At 39.4% G+C, this 24,617-nt stretch overlaps 1 protein-coding gene and 1 long non-coding RNA gene across 5 annotated transcripts in view, besides 1 other annotated feature; one reads left to right on the top strand and one right to left on the bottom strand.

Annotated features, from left to right (window-relative positions):
• The window catches only part of LOC105376585 (uncharacterized), a 46,166-nt gene extending 28,151 nt beyond the window's left edge, over window positions 1-18,015 (top strand). Inside the window, exon 3 of the long non-coding RNA XR_931106.3 lies at window positions 17,789-18,015. This is a non-coding gene — a long non-coding RNA (uncharacterized LOC105376585). The remainder of the gene's footprint in view (window positions 1-17,788) is intronic.
• NELL1 (neural EGFL like 1) overlaps window positions 1-24,617 on the bottom strand; it is a 906,136-nt gene that overhangs the window by 677,041 nt on the left and 204,478 nt on the right. For all 4 annotated transcript variants that reach the window (NM_001288713.1, NM_201551.2, NM_001288714.1 and 1 more), the window contains one exon: window positions 13,106-13,202. In NM_001288713.1, the coding sequence (NP_001275642.1) occupies window positions 13,106-13,202 (97 nt within the window). The remainder of the gene's footprint in view (window positions 1-13,105; window positions 13,203-24,617) is intronic.
• Window positions 16,987-17,499: an enhancer, noted in NCBI's record as "OCT4-NANOG-H3K27ac hESC enhancer chr11:20902693-20903205 (GRCh37/hg19 assembly coordinates)". NCBI's record gives its function as "activates a minimal SCP1, AML or CMV promoter by ChIP-STARR-seq in primed H9 embryonic stem cells {active_cell/tissue: H9 hESC(primed)}" and the evidence as "EXISTENCE:reporter gene assay evidence [ECO:0000049][PMID:30033119]".

Raw genomic sequence — 24,617 nt, 5'->3', positions numbered from 1 at the left:
AGAATGGTCATAATTTAAAAAAAAAAAAAATAGATGTTGACGTGGATGTGGTGAAAAGAGAACACTTTTTTTTTTATTATACTTTAAGTTTTAGGGTACATGTGCACAATGTGCAGGTTTGTTACATATATATATATGTGCCATGTTGGTGTGCTGTACCCAGTAACTCATCATTTAACATTAGGTATATCTCCTAATGCTATCCCTCCCCCTTCCCCCCACCCCATGACAGGCCCTGGTGTGTGATATTCCCCTTCCTGTGTCCATGTGTTGTCATTGTTCAATTCCCCCTTATGAGTGAGAACATGCAGTGTTTGGTTTTTTGTCCTCGCAATAGTTTACTGAGAATGATGGTTTCCAGCTTCATCCATGTCCCTACAAAGGACATGAACTCATCCTTTTTTATGGCTGCATGGTATTCCACGGTGTATATGTGCCACGTTTTCTTAATCCAGTCTATCATTGTTGGACATTTGGGGTGGTTCCAAGTCTTTGCTATTGTGAATAGTGCTGCGATAAACATATGTGTGCATGTGCCTTTATAATAGCATGATTTATAATCCTTTGGGTATATACCCAGTAATGGGATGGCTGGGTCAAATGGTATTTCTAGTTCTAGATCCCTGAGGAATCACCACACTGACTTTCACAATGGCTGAACTAGTTTACGGTCCCACCAACAGTGTAAAAGTGTTCCCATTTCTACACATCCTCTCCAGCACCTGTGTTGTTTCCTGACTTTTTAATGATCGCCATACTAACTGGTGTGAGATGGTATCTCATTGTGGTTTTGATTTGCATTTCTCTGATGGCCAGGGATGATGAGCATTTTTTCATGTGTCTTTTGGCTGCATAAATGTCTTCTTTTAAGAAGTGTCTATCCATATACTTTGCCCACTTGTTGATGGGGTTGTTTGTTTTTTTCTTGTAAATTTGTTTGAGTTCATTGTAGATTCTGGATATTAGCCCTTTGTCAGATGAGTAGATTGCAAAAATTTTCTCCCATTCTGTAGGTTTCCTGTTCACTCTGATGGTAGTTTCTTTTGCTGTGCAGAAGCTCTTTAGTTTAATTAGATCCCATTTGTCAATTTTGGCTTTTGTTGCCATTGCTTTTGGTGTTTTAGACATGAAGTCCTTGCCCATGCCTATGTCCTTCCTGAATGGTATTGCCTAGGTTTTCTTCTAGGGTTTTTATGGTTTTAGGTCTAACATTTAAATATTTAATCCATCTTGAATTAATTTTTGTATAAGGTGTAAGGAAGGGATCCAGTTTCAGCTTTCTACATATGGCTAGCCAGTTTTCCCAGCACCATTTATTAAATAGGGAATCCTTTCCCCATTTCTTATTTTTGTCAGGTTTGTCAAAAATCAGATAGTTGTAGATATGTGGCATTATTTCTGAGGGCTCTGTTCTGTTCCATTAGTCTATATCTCTGTTTTGGTAACAGTACCATGCTGTTTTGGTTACTGTAGCTTTGTAGTATAGTTTGAAGTCAGGTAGCATGATGCCTCCAGCTTTGGTCTTTTGGCTTAGGATTGACTTGGCAATGCGGGCTCTTTTTTAGTTCCATAGGAACTTTAAAGTAGTTTTTTCCAATTCTGTGAAGAAAGGCATTGGTAGCTTGATGGGGATGGCACTGAATCTATAAATTACCTTGGGCAATATGGCCATTTTCATGATATTGATTCTTCCTACCCATGAGCATGGAATGTTCTTCCATTTGTTTGTATCCTCTTTTATTTCATTGAGCAGTGGTTTGTAGTTCTCCTTGAAGAGGTCCTTCACATCCCTTGTAAGTTGGATTCCTAGGTATTTTATTCTCTTTGAAGCAATTGTGAATGGGAGTTCACTCATGATTTGGCTCTCTGTTTGTCTGTTATTGGTGTATAAGAATGCTTGTGATTTCTGCACACTGATTTTGTATCCTGAGACTTTGCTGAAGTTGTTTATCAGCTTAAGGAGATTCTGGGCTGAGATGATGGGGTTTTCTAGATATACAATCATGTCGTCTGCAAACAGGGACAATTTGACTAAAAAGGGAACACTTTTACACTGCTGGTGTGAATGTAAACTATTAACCCCTATGGAAAACAGTATGGAGATTCTTTAAAGAACCAAAAGTGGAAATACCATTTGATCCAGCAATCCCACTACTGGGTATCTACCAAGAAGAAAAGAAGTCATTATATGAAAAAGACATACACACGGTTATAGCAGCACAATTCTCAATTGCAAAGACACGGAACCAGCCTAAATGTCCATCAACCAATGAATGGATAAAGAAATTGTGGCATGTATATATAAATACTACTCAGCCATAAAAGGAAATGAAATAATGGCATTCACAGCAACCTGAATGAAACTGGAGACCATTATTCTAAGTGAAGCAACTCAGGAATGGAAAACCAAATATTGTATGTTCTCACTTATAAGTGGGAGCTAAGCTATGAGGGCACAAAGGTATAAGAATGACAGAAGGGATCCTGGGGACTTAGGTGAAAGGGTGAGAGAGGGTGAGGGATAAAAGACTACATGTTGGGTACTGTGTACACCACTCGGGTGATGAGTGCACCAAAAATCTCACAAATCACCACTAAAGAATTTATCTATGTAACAAAAAACCACCTGTGCCCCAAAAACTAGTGAAATTTTTTTAAAAATATAAAAAATAAACACCAAATCATAGAATTTAAAAAAAAGAAAATGTGGCCTATATACACAATGAAATACTATTCAGCCAAAAAAAGAAAATGAACTCATGTCATTTGCAGCAACACGGATGGAACTGGAGGTCATTATCTTAAGTGAAATAAGCCAGGCATAAAAAAGGCAAGTATCTGGCCAGGCGCAGTGGCTCAGGCCTGTAATCCCAGCACTTTGGGAGGCCGAGGTGGGTGGATCACGAGGTCAGGAGTTCAAGACCAGCCTGGCCAAGACAGTGAAACCCCGTCTCTACTAAAAATACAAAAAAATTAGCCGGGCATGGTGGCACACACCTGTAATCCCAGCTCCTCCAGAGGCTGAGGCAGAGAAATGCTTAAACCTGGAGGGGCGGAGGTTGCAGTGAGCCAAGATCGCGCCACTGCACTCCAGCCTGGGCAACAGAGCGAGACTCCGTCTCAAAAAAAAAAAAAAAAAAAGGCAAATATCACATGTTCTCACTTATATGTGGGAGCTAAAAAATTTGAATACACAGCTAGAGAGTGGAAAGATAGAGAGCGGAAAGACAGATAACAGAGACTGGGAAGGGTGAATGGGGTACATGGAGCAAGGATGAAGAGAAGCTGGTTAAAGGGTACATATACACAGTAGGACAGAAGGAATAATTTCTTTTTTTTTTTTTTTTTTTTTTTTTTTTTTTTTTTTTTTTTTTGAGACGGAGTCTCGCTCTGTCGCCCAGGCTGGAGTGCAGTGGCGGGATCTCGGCTCACTGCAAGCTCCGCCTCCCGGGTTCACGCCATTCTCCTGCCTCAGCCTCCCAAGTAGCTGGGACTACAGGCGCCCGCCACTACGCCCGGCTAATTTTTTTGTATTTTTAGTAGAGACGGGGTTTCACCGTTTTAGCCGGGATGGTCTCGATCTCCTGACCTCGTGATCCGCCCGCCTCGGCCTCCCAAAGTGCTGGGATTACAGGCGTGAGCCACCGCGCCCGGCCAGAGGGAATAATTTCAATGTTTGATAGCAGAGTAGGTTGACTATACTTAACAAAAATGTATTATACTCAGGCAATGGACACCCTAAATACGTTGACTTGATCACTATACGTTATATACATATAACAACATTTACATGTACCCCACAAATTTATGCAAATCTTAAAAATTCTGTGCATGCCTTTTAGTGTATACAAATGCATATCTCTATTAGACATTAGGTACCTAGAGTATTCTTTCTTGGTCATAGGACATATATATGTCCATTTTATTAACCATACTAACAAACAGCTTTCCTTAGTACTTAAATCAATTTCATTCCCACCAGCAGTGAATGAAGGCTCCAGTTGTTCCACATCCTTGCAAATACATGGTATGGTCTGTGTTTTTAATTTGACCCATTCTGATGGATATTCAGTAGCATCTCAGTATGGCTTTACTTTCCCTGATGACTAATCATATTGATACCATCCCCTTTGTTTACTGGCCTTTTGGACATTCCCTTTTGTGAAGTGCCTGGTAGCATTTTTCTCAAATGTTTTTATTGGATAGACTTTTCATTATTGATGTAAAGGGGTCCTTTATACAGCTTGGATAAAAGGCCTTTGTGGGACACAACTACTTTGAATAGCTCCTCCTATTCCTTGACATGCCTTTTTACTCTCTTAGTCATCTATTTTGATGAGAAAAGTTCCAAATTTTAATATATTCCAATGGATCAGTCTTTTCCTTTATAGTTATTATTTCTTACATCTTATTTAAAAAGTATTTTTCCTACATCGAGGTCATAAAGTATTCTCCTACATTATCTTTTATAAGCTTTGTCAGTTTAACTTTTTGATCTATAGCCCACTTGGAATTGATTTTGCATTATCAGTTGTGTGAAACAGGGTCAGGATTAGTGCTTTCCCCATGGGGATATTCAGTTGACCCAGCACACTGTAGTGAGTAGGCCATCCATGCCTGCTATTCTGCCAGGCTACAACATACAGTTTGAGATTATGTTATTCAGTACATACATCTTTAAAATAGCTTATTATTATGTGGTGACCTTTTTGGCCTTGCAGTTTGAAATCAGCAGTTTCTCCAGCCTTCTCATGTTTAGTTTGGCCTATTTTTCTTTTTTTTTTTTTTTTAACTACCTCACTATCAACATTTATGAGTCCTTATTTTTTATTGTTTCACTGTAAGCAATATACAACAGGCTTTGGGTTTTATGAATTCAATATAATACTCTTATTTTTCATTCTAAGTGTAAATCACTTAAATTGATAATAACAATTGTGAAATGGAATTATATATGGTATCTTATATTAAATATTTCTCTTCTTACCTTATTTTGGGTTGATGAGGCTTAAAAAAAATCCCCTTTTCTCTTATACTTAAATGTCAGAGTTTGGGAGTTAAACATGATTTCTATTATTTTGATATTGTTTTAATTCTAACATGTAGACTTAAAGTCTAAAGTTAATCAGTTTCTCCATTCTTTTTCTGACCACTTAGAACACTTGAAATCAGGCCTTAGAACACTTTAAATCAGATCACCTTTACTAACATTTTATTGCTGTCAATATTTTTTTAATTTTAATTTTAATTATTTTTTTATTTATTAAAAAAAAAAACACGGGATACATGTGCAGAGTGTGCAGGTTTGTGACATAGGACATGTGTCATGGTGGTTCGCTGCACCCATTGATCCATCCTCTAAATTCCCTCCCCTCACCCCTCACCCCCCAACAGGCCCTGGGGTATGTTGTTCCCCTCTCTGTATCCATGTGTTCTTAATGTTAAACTCCCACTTATGAGTAAGAACATGCAGTGTTTGGTTTTCTGTTCCTGTGTTGGTTTGCTGAGGATGATGGCTTCCAGCTTCACCCATGTCTCTGCAAAGGACATGATCTCATTCCTTTTCATGGCTGTGTAGTATGCCATGGTGTTTATGTACCACATTTTCTTTAGTCTAACATTGATGAGCATTTGGGTTAGTTCCACGTCTTTGCTATTGTGAATAGTGCTGCAATAAACATACATGTACATGTGTCTGTTTTTTTTTTTTTTTTTTTGAGACACAGTCTCTCTCTGTCACCCAGGCTGGAGTACAATGGCACAATCTCAGCTCACTGCAACCTCCACCTCATGGGTTCAAGCGATTCTCCTGTCTCAGCCTCCCAAGTAGCTGAGATTACTGGCGCGTGCCGCCACACCCGGCTAAGTTTTGTATTTTTAGTAGAGACAGGGTTTCACCATGTTGGTCAGGCTGGTCTTGAACTCCTGACCTCATGATCCACCCACCTCGGCCTCCCAAAGTGCTGGGATTACAGGTGTGAGCCACCGTGTCTGGCCTGAGCCACTGCGCCCGGCCGCATGTGTCTTCACAGTAGAATGATTTATATTCCTTTGTGTATACACTCAGTAATGGAACTGCTGGGTCAAATGGTGTTTCCGGTCATAGATCCTTAAGGAATCACCATACTATCGTCCACAATGGTTGAACTAATTTGCATTCCCACCAACAGTGTAAAAGGATTCCTATTTCTCCACAGCCTCACATAGGATCTATTGTTTCTTGCCTTTTTAATAATCACCATTCCGACTGGTATGAGATGGTATCTCATTGTGGTTTTGGTTTGCATTTCTCTGATAATCAGTTCTGGTACATTGTCTCTTTGTTCTCATTGGTTTCAAAGAACTTCTTGATTTCTGCCTTAATTTCATTATTTACTCAGGAGTAATTCAGGAGCACATTGTTCAGATTTCATGAAATTGTGCGGTTTTGAGCGAGTTTCTTAATCCTGAGTTCTAATTTGATCGCACCGTGATCTGAGAGACGGTTTGTTATGATTTCAGTTCTTTTGCATTTGCTGAGGAGTGTTTTATGTCCAATTATGTGGTTGATTTTAGAATAAGAGTCATGTGGCACTGAGAAGAATGTATATTCTGTTGATTTGGGGTGGAGAGTTCTGTAGACATCTACTAGGTCCACTTGATGCAAAGCGGAGTTCAAGTCCTGAATATCCTTGTTAATTTTCTGTCTCGTTGATCTGTCTAATATTGACAGTGGGGTGTTAAAGTCTCTCACTATTATTATGTGGGAGTCTAAGTCTCTTTGTAGGTCTCTAAGAACTTGCTTTATGAATCTGGGTGCTCCTGTATTGGGTGCATATATGTATTTAGGATAGTTATCTCTTCTTGTTGAATTGATCCCTTTACCATTATGTAATGCCCTTCTTTGTCTTTTTTTATCTTTGTCGGTTTAAAGTCTGTTTTGTCAGAGACTAGGATTCCAACCCCTGCCTTTTTTTGCCTTCCATTTGCTTGGTAAATTTTCCTCCATCCCTTTATTTTGAGCCTGTGTGTGTCTTTGCATGTAAGATGGATCTCCTGAATACAGCATACCGATTGGTCTTGACTCCTTATCCAATTTGCCAGTCTGTGTCTTTTAATTGGGGCACTTAGCCCATTTACATTTAAGGTTAGTATTGTTATGTGTGAATTTGATCCTGTCATCATGATGTTATTTGGTTATTTTGCACACTAGTTGATGCAGTTTCTTTGTAGTGTCATTGGTCTTTATATTTTGGTGTGTTTTTGCAGTGGCTGGTACCAGTTTTTCCTTTCCATATTTATTGTTTCTTTCAGCAGCTCTTGCAGGGCAGGCCTGGTGGTAACAAAATCCCTCAGCATTTGCTTGTCTGGAAAGAATTTTATTTCTCATTCTCTTATGAAGTTTACTTTGGCTGGATATGAAATTCTGGGTTGAAAATTCTTTTCTTTAAGAATGTTGAATATTGGCCCCCAATCTCTTCTGGCTTACAGAGTTTCTGCTAAGAGGTCCACTGTTAGTCTGATGGGCTTCCCTTTGTAGGTGACTTGGTCTTTCTCTCTGGCTGCCCTTAACAGTTTTTTTCCTTCATTTCAACCTTCGTGAAGCTGATGATCATGTGTCTTGGGGTTGATCTTCTCGTAGAGTATCTTAATGGTGTTCTTTGTATTTCCTGAATTTGCATGTTGGCCTGTCTTGCTAGGATGGGGAGGTTCTCCTGGATAATATCCTGAAGTGTGTTTTCCAGCTCGTTTCCATTCTCCCTGTCTCCTTCTGGTACTCCAGTCAATGGTAGGTTCGGTCTTTTTATGAAGTCCCATATTTCTTGGAGGCTTTGTTCATTCCTTTTCATTCTCTTTTCTTTATTCTTTTCTGCATCTTTTTTCAGTAAGGTGGTCTTCAAACTCTAATGTCCTTTTTTCTGCTTGGTCAATTCAGCTATTGATACTTGTGTATGCTTCACAAAGTTCTTCTGCCATGTTTTTCAGTTCCATCACGTTGTTCATATTCCTCTCTAAGCTGGTTATTCTGGTTAGCAATTCCTTTAACCTCTTATCAAGGTTCTTAGCTTCCTTGCATTGGGTTAGAACATGCTCCTTTAACTCAGAGGAGTTTGTTATTACCCACCTTCTGAAGCCTGCTTCTGTCAATTTGTCCATCTGATCCTCCATCCAGTTCTGTGCCCTTGATGGAGAGACATTGAAATCATTTGGAGAAGAGGCACTCTGGCCTTTTGGGTTTTCAGAATTTTTTCATTGATTCTTTCTCATCTTCGTGAGTTTGTCTAGTTTCAGTCTTTGAGGCTGCTGACCTTTGGATGGGGTTTTTGTGGGGGCCTTTTGTTGTCATTGATGATGCTGTTGCTGTTACTTTCTGCTTGTCTTTATTTCAATAGTCAGGTCTCTCTTCTGTAGGGCTGCTGCAGTTTGCTGGGGATTCACTTCAGGCCCTGTTCACCTGCTTCACTCCCATGCCTGGAGATGTCACTTAAGGAGGCTGGAGAACAGCAGAGTTGGATTCCTGCTCCTTCTGGGACCTCTGACCTCGAACGACACCAAACTGATGCCAGTAGGATTGCTCCTGTATAGGGTGCTTGACAACCCCTGTTGGAGGGTCTCACTCAGTTGGGTGGCACAGGGAGCAGGACCTGTTTAATGAGGCATTTTGGCCATTGGTGGAGCGGGTGTGCTTTGCTGGGGGGAAACCTACTCGTCTAGACTGCCCGGATTCTTCAGAATTACCAAGACAAGAGGCTAAGTCTGCTGGTCCACACAGACTGTGGCCACCTCTCCCGCTAGGGGCTCAGGCCCAGGGAAATCCGAATTCTGTCCCTGAGTCTCCGGCTGGAGTTACTGGAAATCTGCCTCCCTTGGCTGCAGGGAGGGGGCTCCCCTTTCCCGTGTGGCTCTCAGATGGGCCGTCGCACCGCACTGTTCCTCCTTCTCTCCATGAGTCACGCCAGCCTTCTAGTCAATTTTGATGACAGAACCCGGATATTTTGGTTGATGGTGAAGGATTCCATTGTCAATATTTTTAATATTATTTTTCTAAAATTAAGCATTATTATATTTTAATCAAACAAGGATAATGGCAATCATTCAGAATAATAATCACTGAGATTTGTGCATACTGTCAACATGCATTTGCTCTCCAATTCTTCTTGCACTGTATGTCTTCCTTCCAGGAAGTTTTTTAAATGAAGATCTATTGGTTATAAACTGAGAGTTTCATTTCTCTACTAATGTCTTTATGTCACACTCATTCTCAAATGACAATTAAGCTTGGTATATACTACTACATTTGAAAGTTATTTTCTCTCAAAACTTGGAAAACACTTTTTCTACTGTCTTTTGACTTCTGCTTTTACTGTTTAAAAACCAGCTGTTCAGTTTGTTATCCTTTTGTGAAAAATTTGTGTTTTGTCACTGGCTATTTTTAAGATCTTCTCTGTGTCTTTGGAGTTCTGCTATTCTGCCAGTATATCTAAGTGTGGCTGTCTATTTATCTTGATTTGTATAATAGGTTGCTGATGTGGCCAAAAAAAATTCTTCCCTCCTTGCATCCATATCCTTGCAATGTGATATCATGGAGCAGCCCTTCAAGAGATGAAGTCTATTTATTTACATTTTGACTCTGGAGTTGGCCATATGACTTGCTTTGGGCAATAAAACATTAGCAAATGTGATCAAGCAAACAAAGCCTTGAAAATATTAGTACTTTAGGGATTGCACTCTTCCGATACTTGGAATCCCAGGGATGACATGTAAATAAGCTGAGCTAGGCCATTGGAGATGAGAGACCATGTGAGGACAACTGAGGAACAAGAGTCAACAGCCAGCCAACCCCCAGAGAGGTGAAGAGGCTCTCAGATCATCCTGCCACCTGCTAGCATGCCAATTAACCACAGACATGGGAGACAGCCTAACAAGTATCAGCTTAGCCAGGTCAAAGCAGAAAAAAATTGGTTTTTGAGCTAAATAAAATGGCTGTTCTGATGCCTCTATGTTTTCTATGATTTCTATGTGAAATCAACAACATATACTTTTATTTCATTGTTCTTTCAGTAATGAGAATTAATGTCTTTTATTAAGTTTAGAAAATTCTTACCCGTTATACTTATAATAGTGCCCATAACCTTTATCTCTGTTTACTATCTGGAATTTTCAAATATATATGCATATATAGACATAATATATTCTTTATTATCTTCCTTAATTTTTAAATATATGTATATTATAATAATATACATATCTAAGAAGCTATCTATCTCAGCTATCTAAGAAGCCACTTAGAAAACATAGAGGCATCAGAACAGCCATTTTATATAGATATGCATACATATTCACACATATTAAACAGATACGTAAACTTTTTTTATATACATGTATCTGTTCTATATTTTAACCTCCTTCCTATTTTCTTCTCTTTATCTCTGAAGCACTACTATTAGTTTAATTATTTTAACAATATTTTCCATTTCACAAATGCTCTTCCTACCTGTGTCTAATCTGTTTAGCAGGTTCACTGAGGTTTTTGGTTTTTGTTTCTTTTTTAACTTCAACAACTGTATCTTTCATTTTTGGAAGTGCTTTTTAGTTCAACTATCTCTGGGCCTATTTATTATCTCTAGTCATCATACATTCTTTATTATTTTGATTCTTCAAACATTTTAAACAGAAGTTTTTTAAAAAATTAAAAAAAAATTCTTTACCTGCTAATTTCATTTTCTGTAGCCCTGTGAGGACTAACTGAGCATTTTTTTGTTTCTTTCCACTGTCATTCGTGATGGCTTTAGAGCTCCTATTTTATGGACTTAATCTGTGGGCATCCTTTGAGGTCTACATCAAAAGTGACTTTCTCCAAAGATAATTTGTATTTTCTTCATCAGGACTCCCAAGGTACCTAATCCAGGGCCACTTTAATATACTTTATTGAGCTTCATGGGTAAAGTAAATCTGGGTGTCAAGTCTGCAACCCTTCAAGTGCTGTGGTTTACTAGTTCTCTGGGAAGTATTATTTTTTCTCATCTGGAGATGAGATGCAGACAGGATAGTTTCTGGATTGCCTCCTTCTGCTAGATAGTGGACTGGCTTTACCTTAAAAATTTCCATTCCAACACTCAGTCACGCATGGGATCTAAGTAATTTCTCCCATCCCACACAGACGGTTGAAATTTAAAGCTCTAACTGAAATTTTCATAGATTGCTGGTGGGAATGCAAAAACTGGCACAGCTGCTTTGAAAAATGGTTTAGCAGTTGCCTGTGAATTTAAACATACACTTAATATACAACCCAGTAAGCCCACACCTACACACTTACCTAAGTGAAATCAAAACCGCTGTTCACACAAAAACCTGTATGCAAATGTTTATAGTGGTTCTATTCATAATTGTTCCAAACTGGAAATAACCCAGATGTCCATCAACTGAAGAATGGACAAACAAAATATGATACATTCATACAACAGAACTGGAATACTACTCAGCAATAGAAAACAATGAACCACTGATACACACAACAACTTGGTGAATCTCAACATAGAAACTTATGTAAATACACACACACACATAAATGATTCCATTTATATAACATTCTGGTAAAGACAAAACTACAGGGTCAGAAAACAGACCAGTGGTTGCTAAAGGCTTCGGGTGAGGAGAAGGGTTTAATACAAAGGGGGATGGAAATTTTTGGAGATAAAGAAATGGTTCTTTATCTCAATTACAATGATGATTATAATACAGTGTAGATTTTCCAAAACTTGTGACACTGTACATTAAATGGAATGAATTTTCCTGTATGTAAATTACATCTTACTTTTTTTTGGTATTATTTTATTATACTTTAAGTTCTAGGGTACATGTGCACAACGTGCAGGTTTGTTACCTTGGTATACATGTGCCATGTTGGTTTGCTGCACCCATCAACCCGTCATTTACATTAGTTATTTCTCCTAATGCTATCTCTCTCCCAGCCCCAGTGTATGATGTTCCCCACCCTGTGTCCATGTGTTCTCATTGTTCAACTCCCACCTGTGAGTGAGAACATGCGGAATTACACCTTAATTTTTTAAAAATAAAAAAGAAGGAACCTAAGGCTCTAAGTTCTGGTACTGATACCCCTCTGGCTTTCTCTCCCCTCCATATATTTGGTCCCCAAGGAATTCCTTTCGTATAAGTACAATGCTGAATTTTAAAATATTTTTGTGGTATTTTATCGAGCATTATAGTCATTTTGAAGCAGAAGGATTTTTAGAATATCTAGTCTGCCATATTGCCAGAAGCAAAAGTGTGTCATTCTTTCAAAGAACAAGACTGTCTTAAAATTTCATGGTATTTTTAAGTTTTTAAATTTATTTTATCACTGTATCCTTATGTTTCTGTGAAGTATAATAATGCAGTTTTTTTAAAAAAAATTTTGGATGTAGGGGGTACACACGCAGGTTTGTTACATGGGTATACTGCATGATGTTGAGGTTTAGGCTATGGATGGTCCAGTCACTCAGGTAGTGAGCATGGTACCAAATAGTTTTTCAGCCCATGGCTCCCTCTCTCCCTCCCACCTCTAGTAGTCCACAGTGTCTACTGCTCCCATCTTTGTGTCCATGTGTATTCAGTGTTTAGCTCCCACTTATAAGTGAGAATATGCAGTATTTGGTTTTCTGTTCCCAGTAATGCAATTAAACCAAAGCTCAAGGAAGCAGAGATGTATTTTTCATATCTAGACATCTACTCTAAACTGAATTAACATATAATCTGAGAAGGGAAACCAGTTTGAAGATTATCGTAAATCCTTCAGAATTGGGAGGTCAACATTTTGAGGATCATTTGCCTTCTGGATCATCCATCCCTGGCAGCAGAGTGAACTGGATAACCTTGGGCAAGTCACTTAACTCTCTGCCTGGTTTCAAAGCACCTACTTCACAAATTACTGTGACAAGTAAACCAGTTTATTCATGTCAAGCACATAAAAAAGCATGTGTCACAAAGTAAGTGTTCAATAAACATTAGTAGCTATTATGCCATGCCCTTCCCACTAATGTAATTATAAACACGGCTCCAATAAATAACACAGAAAACTGAGCATCGCCTATATATATACTTCAATAAAAAGAACGTTAGTGCTTACTTTGAATAAGCCATGCTTTTGGTTGCGCTGGCCAAGCCATAAATTGATTCCTGGGGGAAGGTTGGTATCTGGAGGGTCTATCACACGCTCATAAATCCTGTAAAGGCAAAGAACACAGTTACTAATAGAGAGGCTCAAAGCAGAACCAAAAGGTGCATATGCTGTTTGAAGTATGCATGCCATTAGCTGCTGTATGAAGAGAAGCCAATATGTGGCACACTTTACATGACAGATAACATGAATGTAGAGATCTAACACTTGGACACATCATCTGGGCCCCTCCTGCTTTTGTCTCCCTTTTGGCAGGGGAGGGAGGAAGAAGGTGACATTTTTGAGTGTCCACTCTGAGCAATGAACTGCCCACAAACTCTGTGGGGAAAGTGGTTTGATACGCATGTTATAGGTGCGAAAGCTCAGATTTAGGAATCATAAATGAGTTAACCAAGTGAAGACAGCAGTGAGTAGTAGAGTTGGGATAAGAACTCTTATCTGCCTGGCTCTAAAGCCACTGTACTTTCCTTTGCACCCTGCTATTCTCCGACTTCGGTTTCTTTAGGTCCTACTCATTTCTGCAGTAACCTGAGAGAACCCTTTAAACAAGTAGATTGCAGCTGCCTAGATGATCATGTTTTTAGTCTACAGAACTACACAGCTTAAGTCATCGTCCAACCAACAAATATTTATTGAACACTTTTTATGCTCTAAGCTCCACACTAAGCAACAGAAAATAGAGCAAGAAACCAGACACACAAGGTCCCACTCTCATGGAGGAAAAGTAAGATAAAAATTCTATATATGAAGAAAATCCTCATCTGATCCATACAGGCACATAACTAATACAGAAGATGTCAGAGCCCTACCTAGGATCTTTGAAGTTTCTAGCAGAGCCTACCGAACAATTAATGTCTCAGTTATTCCATCCTACCAAGGTCCGGTTAGTTGGTCCCAAATCTTTTTATTCGTGCCCTCTTTAGAAATAGTCCCTGCAACCACCCACTGATCACGAGCTTCCAACCTCACCCCGGGCAAGTACCTCTCAGCATTGGATGCTCAGAAGATTCTGGGTGGGATGAAACACAGTGATCTGTAAACGAGAACTATGTCCATTTCTTGCTTTCCTGAGTCCTCGCTGAGGACTGAGCAACGGCTGCGGAATCATTCCTAGGTGTGTCCAGAGGTACGGACAGCTCATCACTCCTCCCTGCTGTGATGGAGCTGACTGCCTCCTGCCAGAGGGCGATGTATTCCTCCGGTGGTTCTCACAAGGAAAGTGCAGAAGAACTGAAAGACTGTCCACTTGTGTCAAGGAAAGTGAGTGATGGTGAGCCTGCTGCAGTTGGGAGCTGTCGCGCTGCAGTCTTATATCTTAGCTGCACAGTCCATTACTCTACTATTCCCCACTGGAAACCTGCTGTTTCCTAATACATGCAAGGTTTTCAGCTGGCAAAGCTCCAAGCACATCAGGTCTTTCTCTACTAATTATCCTTCCATTATAAGTGGACACTCAAAACATAATCAGGAAAAAATAAGTTTTCCTAAAAAGAAGACAGAATGTGTTTTCTTTACAGGAATCTAACCTTTTTTGTATCTTAGAATGAACGATTTTAGACGAAACTATTTGTCAAAACTGCCTTAACACAGGAGCATGATACACACTTCCTTTAAAATTTTTTCTCCTAACATTAGTGGAAAAACTAGACACAAGGCAAATTTACAACTTAAGAGATATGCATAAGTTATAGATCAGCTTGAAAGAATTTACTACAGTCATTAAGTGTGATGAATATGCAAGTTATGAAACAAGGGAAAGTATATACAAAATATTTTTCACTGGAAAAAAGGGAATGCAAAATTATTTATGCCCTATAGAGATAATGAGGCACAAATGATGTTCAATGTTGGTAAATACCAAAAGAGGCCAGGGAGAAATGGAAATCACTGTATTTGGGTGACGAGGCAGAAGCATGATTTCTATAAGGCTATTTTACTAATAAATTGAAAATGTTGAACCATTTACCTTAAGCTCAATTTTAACAACTTTGCCTCTGTCACAGTTAGACGAGCTTTCGATTCAAAAGTTTATTTTATGTATTCAATAGGCTAGAAGATAAGCTCCAATGAGCAGAGTAGGCCCTTAATCAATATTTATTAAATGCATGAATTAATGAAGGAAAAAACAATCAAAGAGATTAACTTCCTATCCTACCTTATCTTGCAAAGCATAATAGCTCCGTGTGCCTTAGAAATAGTTGAAGAAGCAAACATCTGAGGCCCACTATCACCAGCTAAAGCAGGGTGACCCAGGGCACATGTGTCAAAGTGGTGTTCTCATTTCCCATGTCATACAGCCCCCACAAAGACACCATCCTGATGCCAAGGAAGCTCTGCCGGATGCTGCCTTCCTGGCAGCCCTGCCAAATCTGTTCCAAGAGGCAGTCTGCATTAGGGAATTCTGTGCAGCAGGTGGAATCAACAAACTGGATACAGATGTATCAACATGAAGAGAGTTTAAAAACAGTATTTTTTTTAAAAAGAAAACTTGCTGAGGAGGGAGGAGGAAATCTAATCATGAAGAAACATCAGATAAACCTCAATTGAAAGACAGTCCACAAAATAACTGCTTGTGGTCTTTAAAATGTCAATGTCATGAAAAATAAAGAAAGGCTGAACAACAGTTGGAGATTAAAAGAGAGACTTTAAAAAGACATAAAAGCTATACGCAAGATGGGATCCTGGATTAGATGCTAGGGCAGGGGGAAATAATCCCATAAAGGACATTATTGGGAAAATTGGGAAAATTTGAATAAGATCTGTAAATTATGTAATAGTATTTTATTGATACTCAATTTCCTGATTTTGCTAACTGGGCAGTATATACTTAAGTGAAAGTCTTGTTCTTAGGAAATAGGCACTGAAGTATTTAGGGGTAGAGGGTCATGATGTTTACAACTTAACTCTCAAAGGGTTCAAAATAACAATACTGTTTGTATATATAAGTATACACATCTATGAATACACGCTTTCTCTTCCTTCCAAATAATGCAGAATCTGGGCAAATATGATTGTTCCTTGTATCACTCCTATAAGTTTTCTGTGAGCTTAAAGTTATATTAACATTAACAGTTTAAAAAATAGAGAAAAAACCAACAAGGTCCATAATGTATGTAAACTAAAAATTCACACATGCAAAACAATGTTATCGATTAGCTAAGGATACGCACAGAATTTTCCTATCACAGGCCTGGTGGGAATGGTGAGGCAAGAAAAAAGTGAATGAATGAAACAAGAAATGTGCACGGCACAGACTAATGCTGATAACACAAACTAAGAAATTGAATTATCACATTCCTACACGTACCCCTATAGAAGGGGAGCTATACATGCCAGCCAAAGTAAAATCAGAATCTTAGCACAAAGGCTGCTGGTCCCTGAGGGACAGTTTGGGTGGACTGGATCATGTAAAAAGGCAGGTAGGGCACAGTGATCTGTCACTTAAATCTGGCGTCACCCAAGTCAACTAAAATGAAAGTCACAGCTAATATAGTGAACTCCTTGCTCTCCAGTGTGGTAAGGAAACTGAGCTTTCTGATATATAGGGTACTCTGGTTAACGAGGTTTCCTTCACATCAGCAAATAGCTGATTGCCTGCAATGTGTATGACACTGTGCTGTGCTGTGCTGGCTATGGGGATACATACAGGCAAATTTAGAATGGCCAATTTCTTGTCTTTAGATCTAATGCCTGAGACAGACACATGCATGGACACACCTTATAATTCAATGCATTAAATTCAATGTTTCCTGGAAGCAGAAAGGGAAAAAAAAAACAAAACAGAATTCTGCCTGCCATAGTCAGAGAAAACTTTCCAAAGGAGACACTACACTGAGTTTTGAATGAAGAATAAAGTGGAGCTGAAAGAGCAGACATAACAGCCAGCACTTATACAACACTTAATGTGTGCCGACATTGTGTATTGAGGGCTTCTATATGTTAATTTACTAAATCCTCATAACAACACCCTCAGGTGGGTGTTCTTGGCTTAGCAAGGTCAAATAACTCGTCCTTGGTTAAGCAGCTTGTGAGTGACACCGCTGGGATTTGAAATCAGATCCTATAGTCTGTACTATTGACCACCTTGCCCTACTGCCTCTCTAGACAAGCAATGAAGGGCAGTTTCAGCCACAAAAGCCCCATCCAAGCTACTATTTATCAAAGAGTTAAAATACAGGAAAACAAAAACAGTAAATAATTTGGTAGAACTTTTAAATCAACACTGAACAAAAGAGGACATGATTAATATATCCTGGGATGTCCTGCTGTCACAGACAGGTTCTTTATTTCCTAATAGAGCAACGTGAAAACCTAACTCATTCAAATAAAGTAAAATTCCTAACTAGGCTTACTTATCAGAAGGAAAAGGGGAAACAAGTTCATGTATCAAAGCTTGAAGGCAAGACTGGTCAGCTCTCCTGGAACCCACTTTGTTTTCCTCCCAGATTCACAGCTCTACTACACTTCCCAGCCTCCCTTGAAGTTGAGTGTGGCTATGGAATGGAAGTGGAAAGGTTGTGCCCCACTTCTAAGCCTGCCCCTCCACCCCACCGAAAAATAATTTAAAAACTCCCTCAGGTATCTTCCATGCTGTCTCTTTCCCTTTATCTCTTTTCTCTTTCTCCCTTTCAGCTGCCTGGAGAAAACTCTGAGGGCTAAGGGGTGGACAGAGCTACAAGACCGAGAATCTTGAATCCCTAAAGGATGACATCAAAGGCCACTTGTCAGCTAGACACACCCAACTGGACTCTATTTAAATGAGAAATAAAATTCAGCTATTTTAAGCCACTGAGATGGAGAGGATATTCTGAAGTTGTGACTAGTATAATTTACCCTAAAAAATATACCGCACTGAAAAACAGAAAGGTTACTGTTGCCTTTTTCACGCCCACAAAGCCAAGAAGTATCTTAGATAGTGTGGTGTAGCAAAAACAACATAAATTTGGGATTAAACATGTTTGGGTTCGTATCGCAGTTCCGCAGTCTACTAAATGCATGACTTTAATCAAGTAATTTAATTTCTCTGTATTTCAATTTCCTCATTTAAAACATAAGGATATTACTGTTAACTGTATGGATTGTCATGAGGATTAAACAAAATACATTACATGCCCTTGGCACTTAGTCTGTGCTGACATTGTGTAAGTCTCATGGGTACCTAAGAATGTGGAGCTGCACAGGTCATGTGACCCAGTCCAGCCTACTTGCTGTAGCTCTCACCAAATGGACCCACTGAGATGGGAAGTCTCAATATCTTAGATGCTTACTTATGCTTTGAATTTACAGTTAAAAGAAATGACATCACTGTGACAGGGAATTTAAGGGTTTGATATTTCAATGTTACAATGCAAGAACTCATTGTCTATTTTTGCCATACATTTCGACAATTATCAAAATTTAAGTCTTAGGTTTCTTTTTTCCCTTTATAAACTTTAAAGCTAGAACAAGCTAATATGTAACAGAAAAAAAAATTCATTTCTGTTGCTGTTTAATCTGATATTATGGAGAAAACTGATGATCTATTTAGATACTAAACTTTGCATTAAAACAGAATTTTTCGATAAAGTATACTTTCTATGAATCCTAAAACTTCAGTATTTTTATTATTGTTGTTTTAAAGTATCATTTTTTTCAGCTTTCTTTAACTCTTTTTGGCCATAAATCGTAAACTTTTCTATGTAAATTACTCAAAATTCTAAGTAAATATCTTATTTCTTTTACATTCTTCCAAAAATGTAATTCTTTGACATTTATAAAAGTTTTATTTTTGTGGAAAGTTAATCATAAACTCACATAAGATTGGAAATAGGCTCAGGCAACAGGAAGAGATGGAAGAAACATTTTATAAGATTGTGTGCTTAAACACACTATCACCAAACCCCCGCCCCACCTGACACCCACACACACACCTGGCCATCAGTTAGCTTTTCTGAGTAAAATACGGCAGCACACTACTCTTAACACTTTCACCCAGTCCGGTAGTAAGCATTTTCCCTAGTCAATTTGGGACATTTAATTGGATTTAGCCAATTTATGAAGAATGTTTCTGGGAAAATGAAAACAGCAGTAAGCAGAGGCCCTATTTTTAAGTTCTCATCCAGGACTACCCTTACATTATACATTCTTTCTTTATATATTATTTTTATACATTCTAACCACCCTATATGTTGGTTATTTCCTGGTCTCTCAGAACCTCCCCATTTGGACGATCCATTCAGACGCATTCCTCAGCTCTTCAGCATGTGACACGGTAGCTTCCATGACCCACAGGGGTCTTCAAGACTCTGGTAGTGGCTGGGCCTGCCTTCCTAGATCACCTGGCTAAGGAAGGAGGAAATAGCTTTCCTAGTACCCTTGGGCCCATCATATCCATCCTGAAGTTGTGTGTGTACTTCCTGACTGCTGCTACCACCAATTATCTTCCGGGTCTGGAGGAAATGGAACACTGACCACAGCATTCCTGTACCTGCTTAGATATCTCCTGCACTAGACACCCTCCCTAAGCACCCTATATAAAGTAACTCCTAACCACCTGGTCAGTCTCCATCACTTAGCTTGTTTTACCCAGCACACTGTAAGCACCTTAAGATAAGGAGCCTCGTCTGTCTTTTTCAAGTCAGCATTTCTACTATCTGGAAGAGAACCTAGCCAAATTCAGATACTGAATGAATAAATGAATGAAAGTTCCCTGACTGTATTCAGAACAGGAGAACTACAGTCAGATAGCTATAAAAGTCCTACTATGGCAAAGCTTTATGATGAGCAATTTGCAAAAATTAATAATCCTGACTGAGAAAAATAGTCAAATGTGACACTTTACATTATGCTGATAATCATGAGATCCATGAAGTCAATAAAGATGAGTGAAATGTAATAACCCTTTTCAAGTGTTCTCCTCCACCATCAATACCTTTTGAGATTTATACAAGAAGCACCAAAGAAAGAACAAGATAAACTCCTCTCACTGTCTCTCACCCGGAAAAGAGATAGAGATAGAAAATTTGAATCTATCAGGCAGACAACTCACTAACAGAGAAATCAGAGAGATGTATTTCAGAAAGAGCAGGAAAAGCAGTCGACAACTTGAAAATTAATTAGATCAAATGGCATCTTTTTTTTTTTTTTTTTTTTGAGACGGGGTCTCTCTCTGTCCCCCAGGCTGAAGTGCAGTGCCGCGATCTCGGCTCACTGCAAGCTCCACCTCACGGGTTCACACCATTTCCTGCCTCAGCCTCCCGAGTAGCTGGGACCACAGGCACCCGCCACCATGCCCAGCTAATTTTTTGTATTTTTAGTAGAGATGGGTTTTCACCGTGTTAGCCAGGATGGTCTCGATCTCCTGACCTCATGATCCACCCGCCTCAGCCTCCCAAAGTGCTGGGATTACAGGTGTGAGCCACCGCGCCCGGCCCAAATGGCATGTTTTTTGAAAAGCACATGATTTACTGCTTAATCTGATTATGTTGTAATCAGTCTAAATGTATCACATTCCTATAGGCTATCAGATGCAAACAACGCATTTACTCTCCAACCATCAAAAATTTACCCTTTCTTTGGGCTGAAGAACACCCACTTCCCATTAGACATGAGTCTCAGGCTTTGTATTCACTTGAGCCTTTACAAGGTGCTACCTATTAAGCTGTACGGGGAGAATTATAGGAATTTTGCATGCCACTAGTATCGATCAATATTTTAAAGTGTAAGTGTCTCATTTCTAATATAATACCATGTAAAATTAAACATCTAGTCAAATGTAAAACCTGCTTGAGAGGACAAGGCAAAGAGTAACTGCCACACTCCTTGTCAAAGTCAATCATTGAATCAAGGGCTCACATTAGGAATTTTCTTCCCAAGGTGTAACCTCTCTTAATTTGTGACTTTGGTTTAAAACACTCTCCCTAACAAGTGTATTGTCTGCTTAAAAGACTAGTCTATATTCTGTGAAGAACTTGATTTTCTCATTAATAGATAAAACCCTCAGAGCTAAACACAAAGCAGTGTGGTGGTTCAACAACACTACTTATGAAGAAATACTGGATTTTTATTTACCTGGATAAAGGAAGGTTTTTGAAGAGACTCCACAGTACCTTTCCTAATTATATAAAAGAATGAATTTCCAGTGTAAATCATGTGAATTGACATGTATTATGCCACTGTTCAATAAGACAATATGAAGCCCAAATGAGACAGTAAATGAAGAGATTTATCTTGGGCTTTGCCAAGAATTGAAGAGAAGCTCTCATGCTCTTGCTGAAGAGAAAAGTTGGAATGACCTTCCTTAGTTATACAGAGCCTCATCTTTACTGCCTTTTAGCTGGCATTAGTGAATATCAAGGTGCTCCTTGGAGAAATTTTCCTATACAGAACATAAGTTCATTCCCATCCATTTTTCCCTGCCCAATATGGTAATGGGTGACCTTGCACATGAAGCTAAGCCCCTCTTTTGGCCTTATGCTAAGGGGACATAACAGACCCTTTCCCCTCTTAGCCTCATAAGAAAAATGTGAGAATTGTAACTTTCTTGAGCCCCACTAGAAAAGCAAAAGTCATGATGTCATCAGCATTATTTCTGACACCAACAAATATTCAGCATTCAGTCCATAGGTTGTTATACTCTTCAGAGCAGGTCCTCAAAGTTTACTGACTGTGACAGGGGGTTTTGCCAATTGTGTACACTGATGAGCTATCTGGGTTTTTTGTTTGTTTGTTTTGTTTTGTTTTGTTTTTGAGATGGAGTCTCCCTCTGTCCCCCAGGCTGTAGTGCAGTGGCGCGATCTCAGCTCTGCAAGCTCTGCCTTCCAGGTTCACGCCATTCTCCTGCCTCAGCCTCCCAAGTAGCTGGGACTACAGGCACCCGCCACTGCGCCCAGCTAATTTTTTTGTATTTTTAGTAGAGACCGGGTTTCACCGTGTTAGCCAGGATGGTCTCAATCTCCTGACCTCGAGATCCACCGCCTCGGCCTCCCAAAGTGCTGGGATTACAGGCATGAGCCACCGTGCCCGGCGATGAACTATCTGTTGAATTCCATATCAGGCTGCCTGGATGTTGTTAATTAACTGCTCACATGGAACACACAGCACACAGGGCTGAAACCAGGACATGAAAGGAATGGCCCAAAGAGGAACTCTGTAGTCTCCTCCTGCCAATCTGTTTAACAAATCCAGATGACACTCAGAAAATGACAAAATTGAAAAATGCACCTCAGGCATTATATCAGAAAACACAGACTGTAATGGGAAGAGAGACTATGGGGATGAATACAGTATGCCCCCAACAGGTAAGGATTGAATTCCAAGCTAAATCCACATAGAGCATGGGAAGAAGGGCTATAACAAGGCTCAGCAGGTTCCTTAACAACTGTCTGTAAATACAAACGCAAACAAAAAAGAGAAGGCACACAGTTGAAGTCTGCAAGGAGATGCCTTTGCTGTGATAAATGAGAAGTCAGAAGTGTTCAAATGAGATCAGCAAACACTGTGGGAGGGGGTTTGAGAGCAGGGTGTCAACACCCTTCACAGAGAGGAGAGAGGTCTTCTCAGAGATCAAGCCTGCGTGTGACCTGCTTCATCCCCTTAGGAAACCCTTGTCACGTTCATGCTTTTTCTTGCCCAGCAACTGAATTTCACTGTTTTCTTTTTCTCTCCTCATCTGGATCTCTAATGATAATAAGGGTGCTTTTTCTTCTTAACCATATTTTATGTCCTTAATATCACTCTTTCACTACTTCTTACCAACCCTTCTCTCTGCTTAAAATTCACGATCCAGATATCATTCTGAGATGATTGTGATTATGTACCAGGGTCAAATAACCAGATCATATAAGACTGTCCTCACTAGTATTTGTATCTGTGATTTGACAAAATAATAGAAAGTATGCTTCATTGTTTATTTTTAATTTTTTAAAATTTTTGTGAGTACTTAGTAGGTGTATATATCCACGGGATACATGAGATGTTTTGATATAGGCATGCAAAGAGACAGGGTCTCAAACTCTTGGGTTCAAGCAATTCTCCCACCTCAGCCTCCCAAGTAGCTGGGACTATAGGTGCATGCTACTATACCTGGCTAGAATATAGGCTTCTTAAACATGCTGGAAAATTTGAAGCTGGTGTGATGGTTTCAATCATGACAGATTTAGCACAACACTATCAGGATTAAAAGAGATATTAATAGGCAGGAATTAGGGCCAAATCAGATGAAATTTCACACGGAAAAATGAAAAGGGTCCAAAGTTAGGGTAAATATGCTGCTTAAAAACAGAATGTGAGATCTAAGGGTAAACAGAAATACATATTAAAAAAATTAAAATAAAATAAAATAAACACCTTTTTGGTCAACAGCGAGCTAAGATCAGCTGTCAAAAAGGATGTTGTGATCTTAAAGTGTACCATGAGACGAAAGTAATTATCTCATTTTATTCTGAGTCAATCTGTCCAGAGATAATCGCATTTAGTTCTAGGAACTTCTCAGATAATAAACAGACATACTTCAGAAGGAATCAGAAAAGATTGTGAGGGCATTGTGAGACAAATCAAGTGATGAACAGTTGAAGGAACAGAGATGTTCTGTCTGAAGAAGTAAAGATTAGGGAGGCCATAATAAGGTCTTCAAGTATTTGGAAGACCATCGTGTAGAAGAGGAATTGAACTTGCTCTGTGCAGCACCAAGAGGGAAAATTGATACCAACAGGTGGAAGCTATAAGGAGGCACTTTGAGCTCAAGATAGAGAAAATTTTCTAGCAGTCAGAACTATAGTATACAGAGGGAAGGGGCACTCCTGGAAGGCAGTGAACTTCCAGTCTCTGAAGGGTGTTTCAGCAGATGATGAAGGACAATTAGCCTCAAACTCAGAGAGATGGAGAGGCACTGTCTCAAAATTTATAAGAGCTGCCTTTGAGTTAGCACCTCCTATAGGCCAAAAGTTTACAGACTTTATAATCCTTTCAATAACCCTAAAAGACAAGCATTGCTATACTCAATTGACAGATGTTCACAGAGATGAAGTGACTCGACTAAATACTATTCAGTAAATGGTGAATTCTAAATTCAAATCCAGGTGTAAACTTCTGCCATGCCACACTGGCTAAAAACCCTCAATTAATTCTGCTATTAAAAAGTCTAGGCCGGGCGAGGTGGCTCATACCTGTAATCCCACCACTTTGGGAGGCTGAGGTGGGTGGATCACCTGAGGTCAGGAGTTCAAGACCAGCCTGATCAATATGATGAAACCTCGACTCTACTAAAAATACAAAAATTAGCCGGGTGTGTTGGCATGTGCCTATAATCCCAGCTACTCGGGAGTCTGAGGCAGGAGAATCGCTTAAACCCAGGAGGCGGAGGTTGCAGTGAGCCGTGATCGTGCCATTGCACTCCAGCCTGGGCAACAAGAGGGAAACTCTGTCTCAAAAAAAAAGTCTAAACTCAGACCGGGTTCAATGGCTCATGCCTGCAATCCCAGCA

The sequence above is a fragment of the Homo sapiens genome, chromosome 11 (genome assembly GCF_000001405.40).
Source record: "Homo sapiens chromosome 11, GRCh38.p14 Primary Assembly".
In the NCBI taxonomy this organism is placed as follows: Eukaryota; Metazoa; Chordata; class Mammalia; order Primates; family Hominidae; genus Homo; species Homo sapiens.
This window is presented reverse-complemented; position numbering and strand designations above follow the sequence as displayed.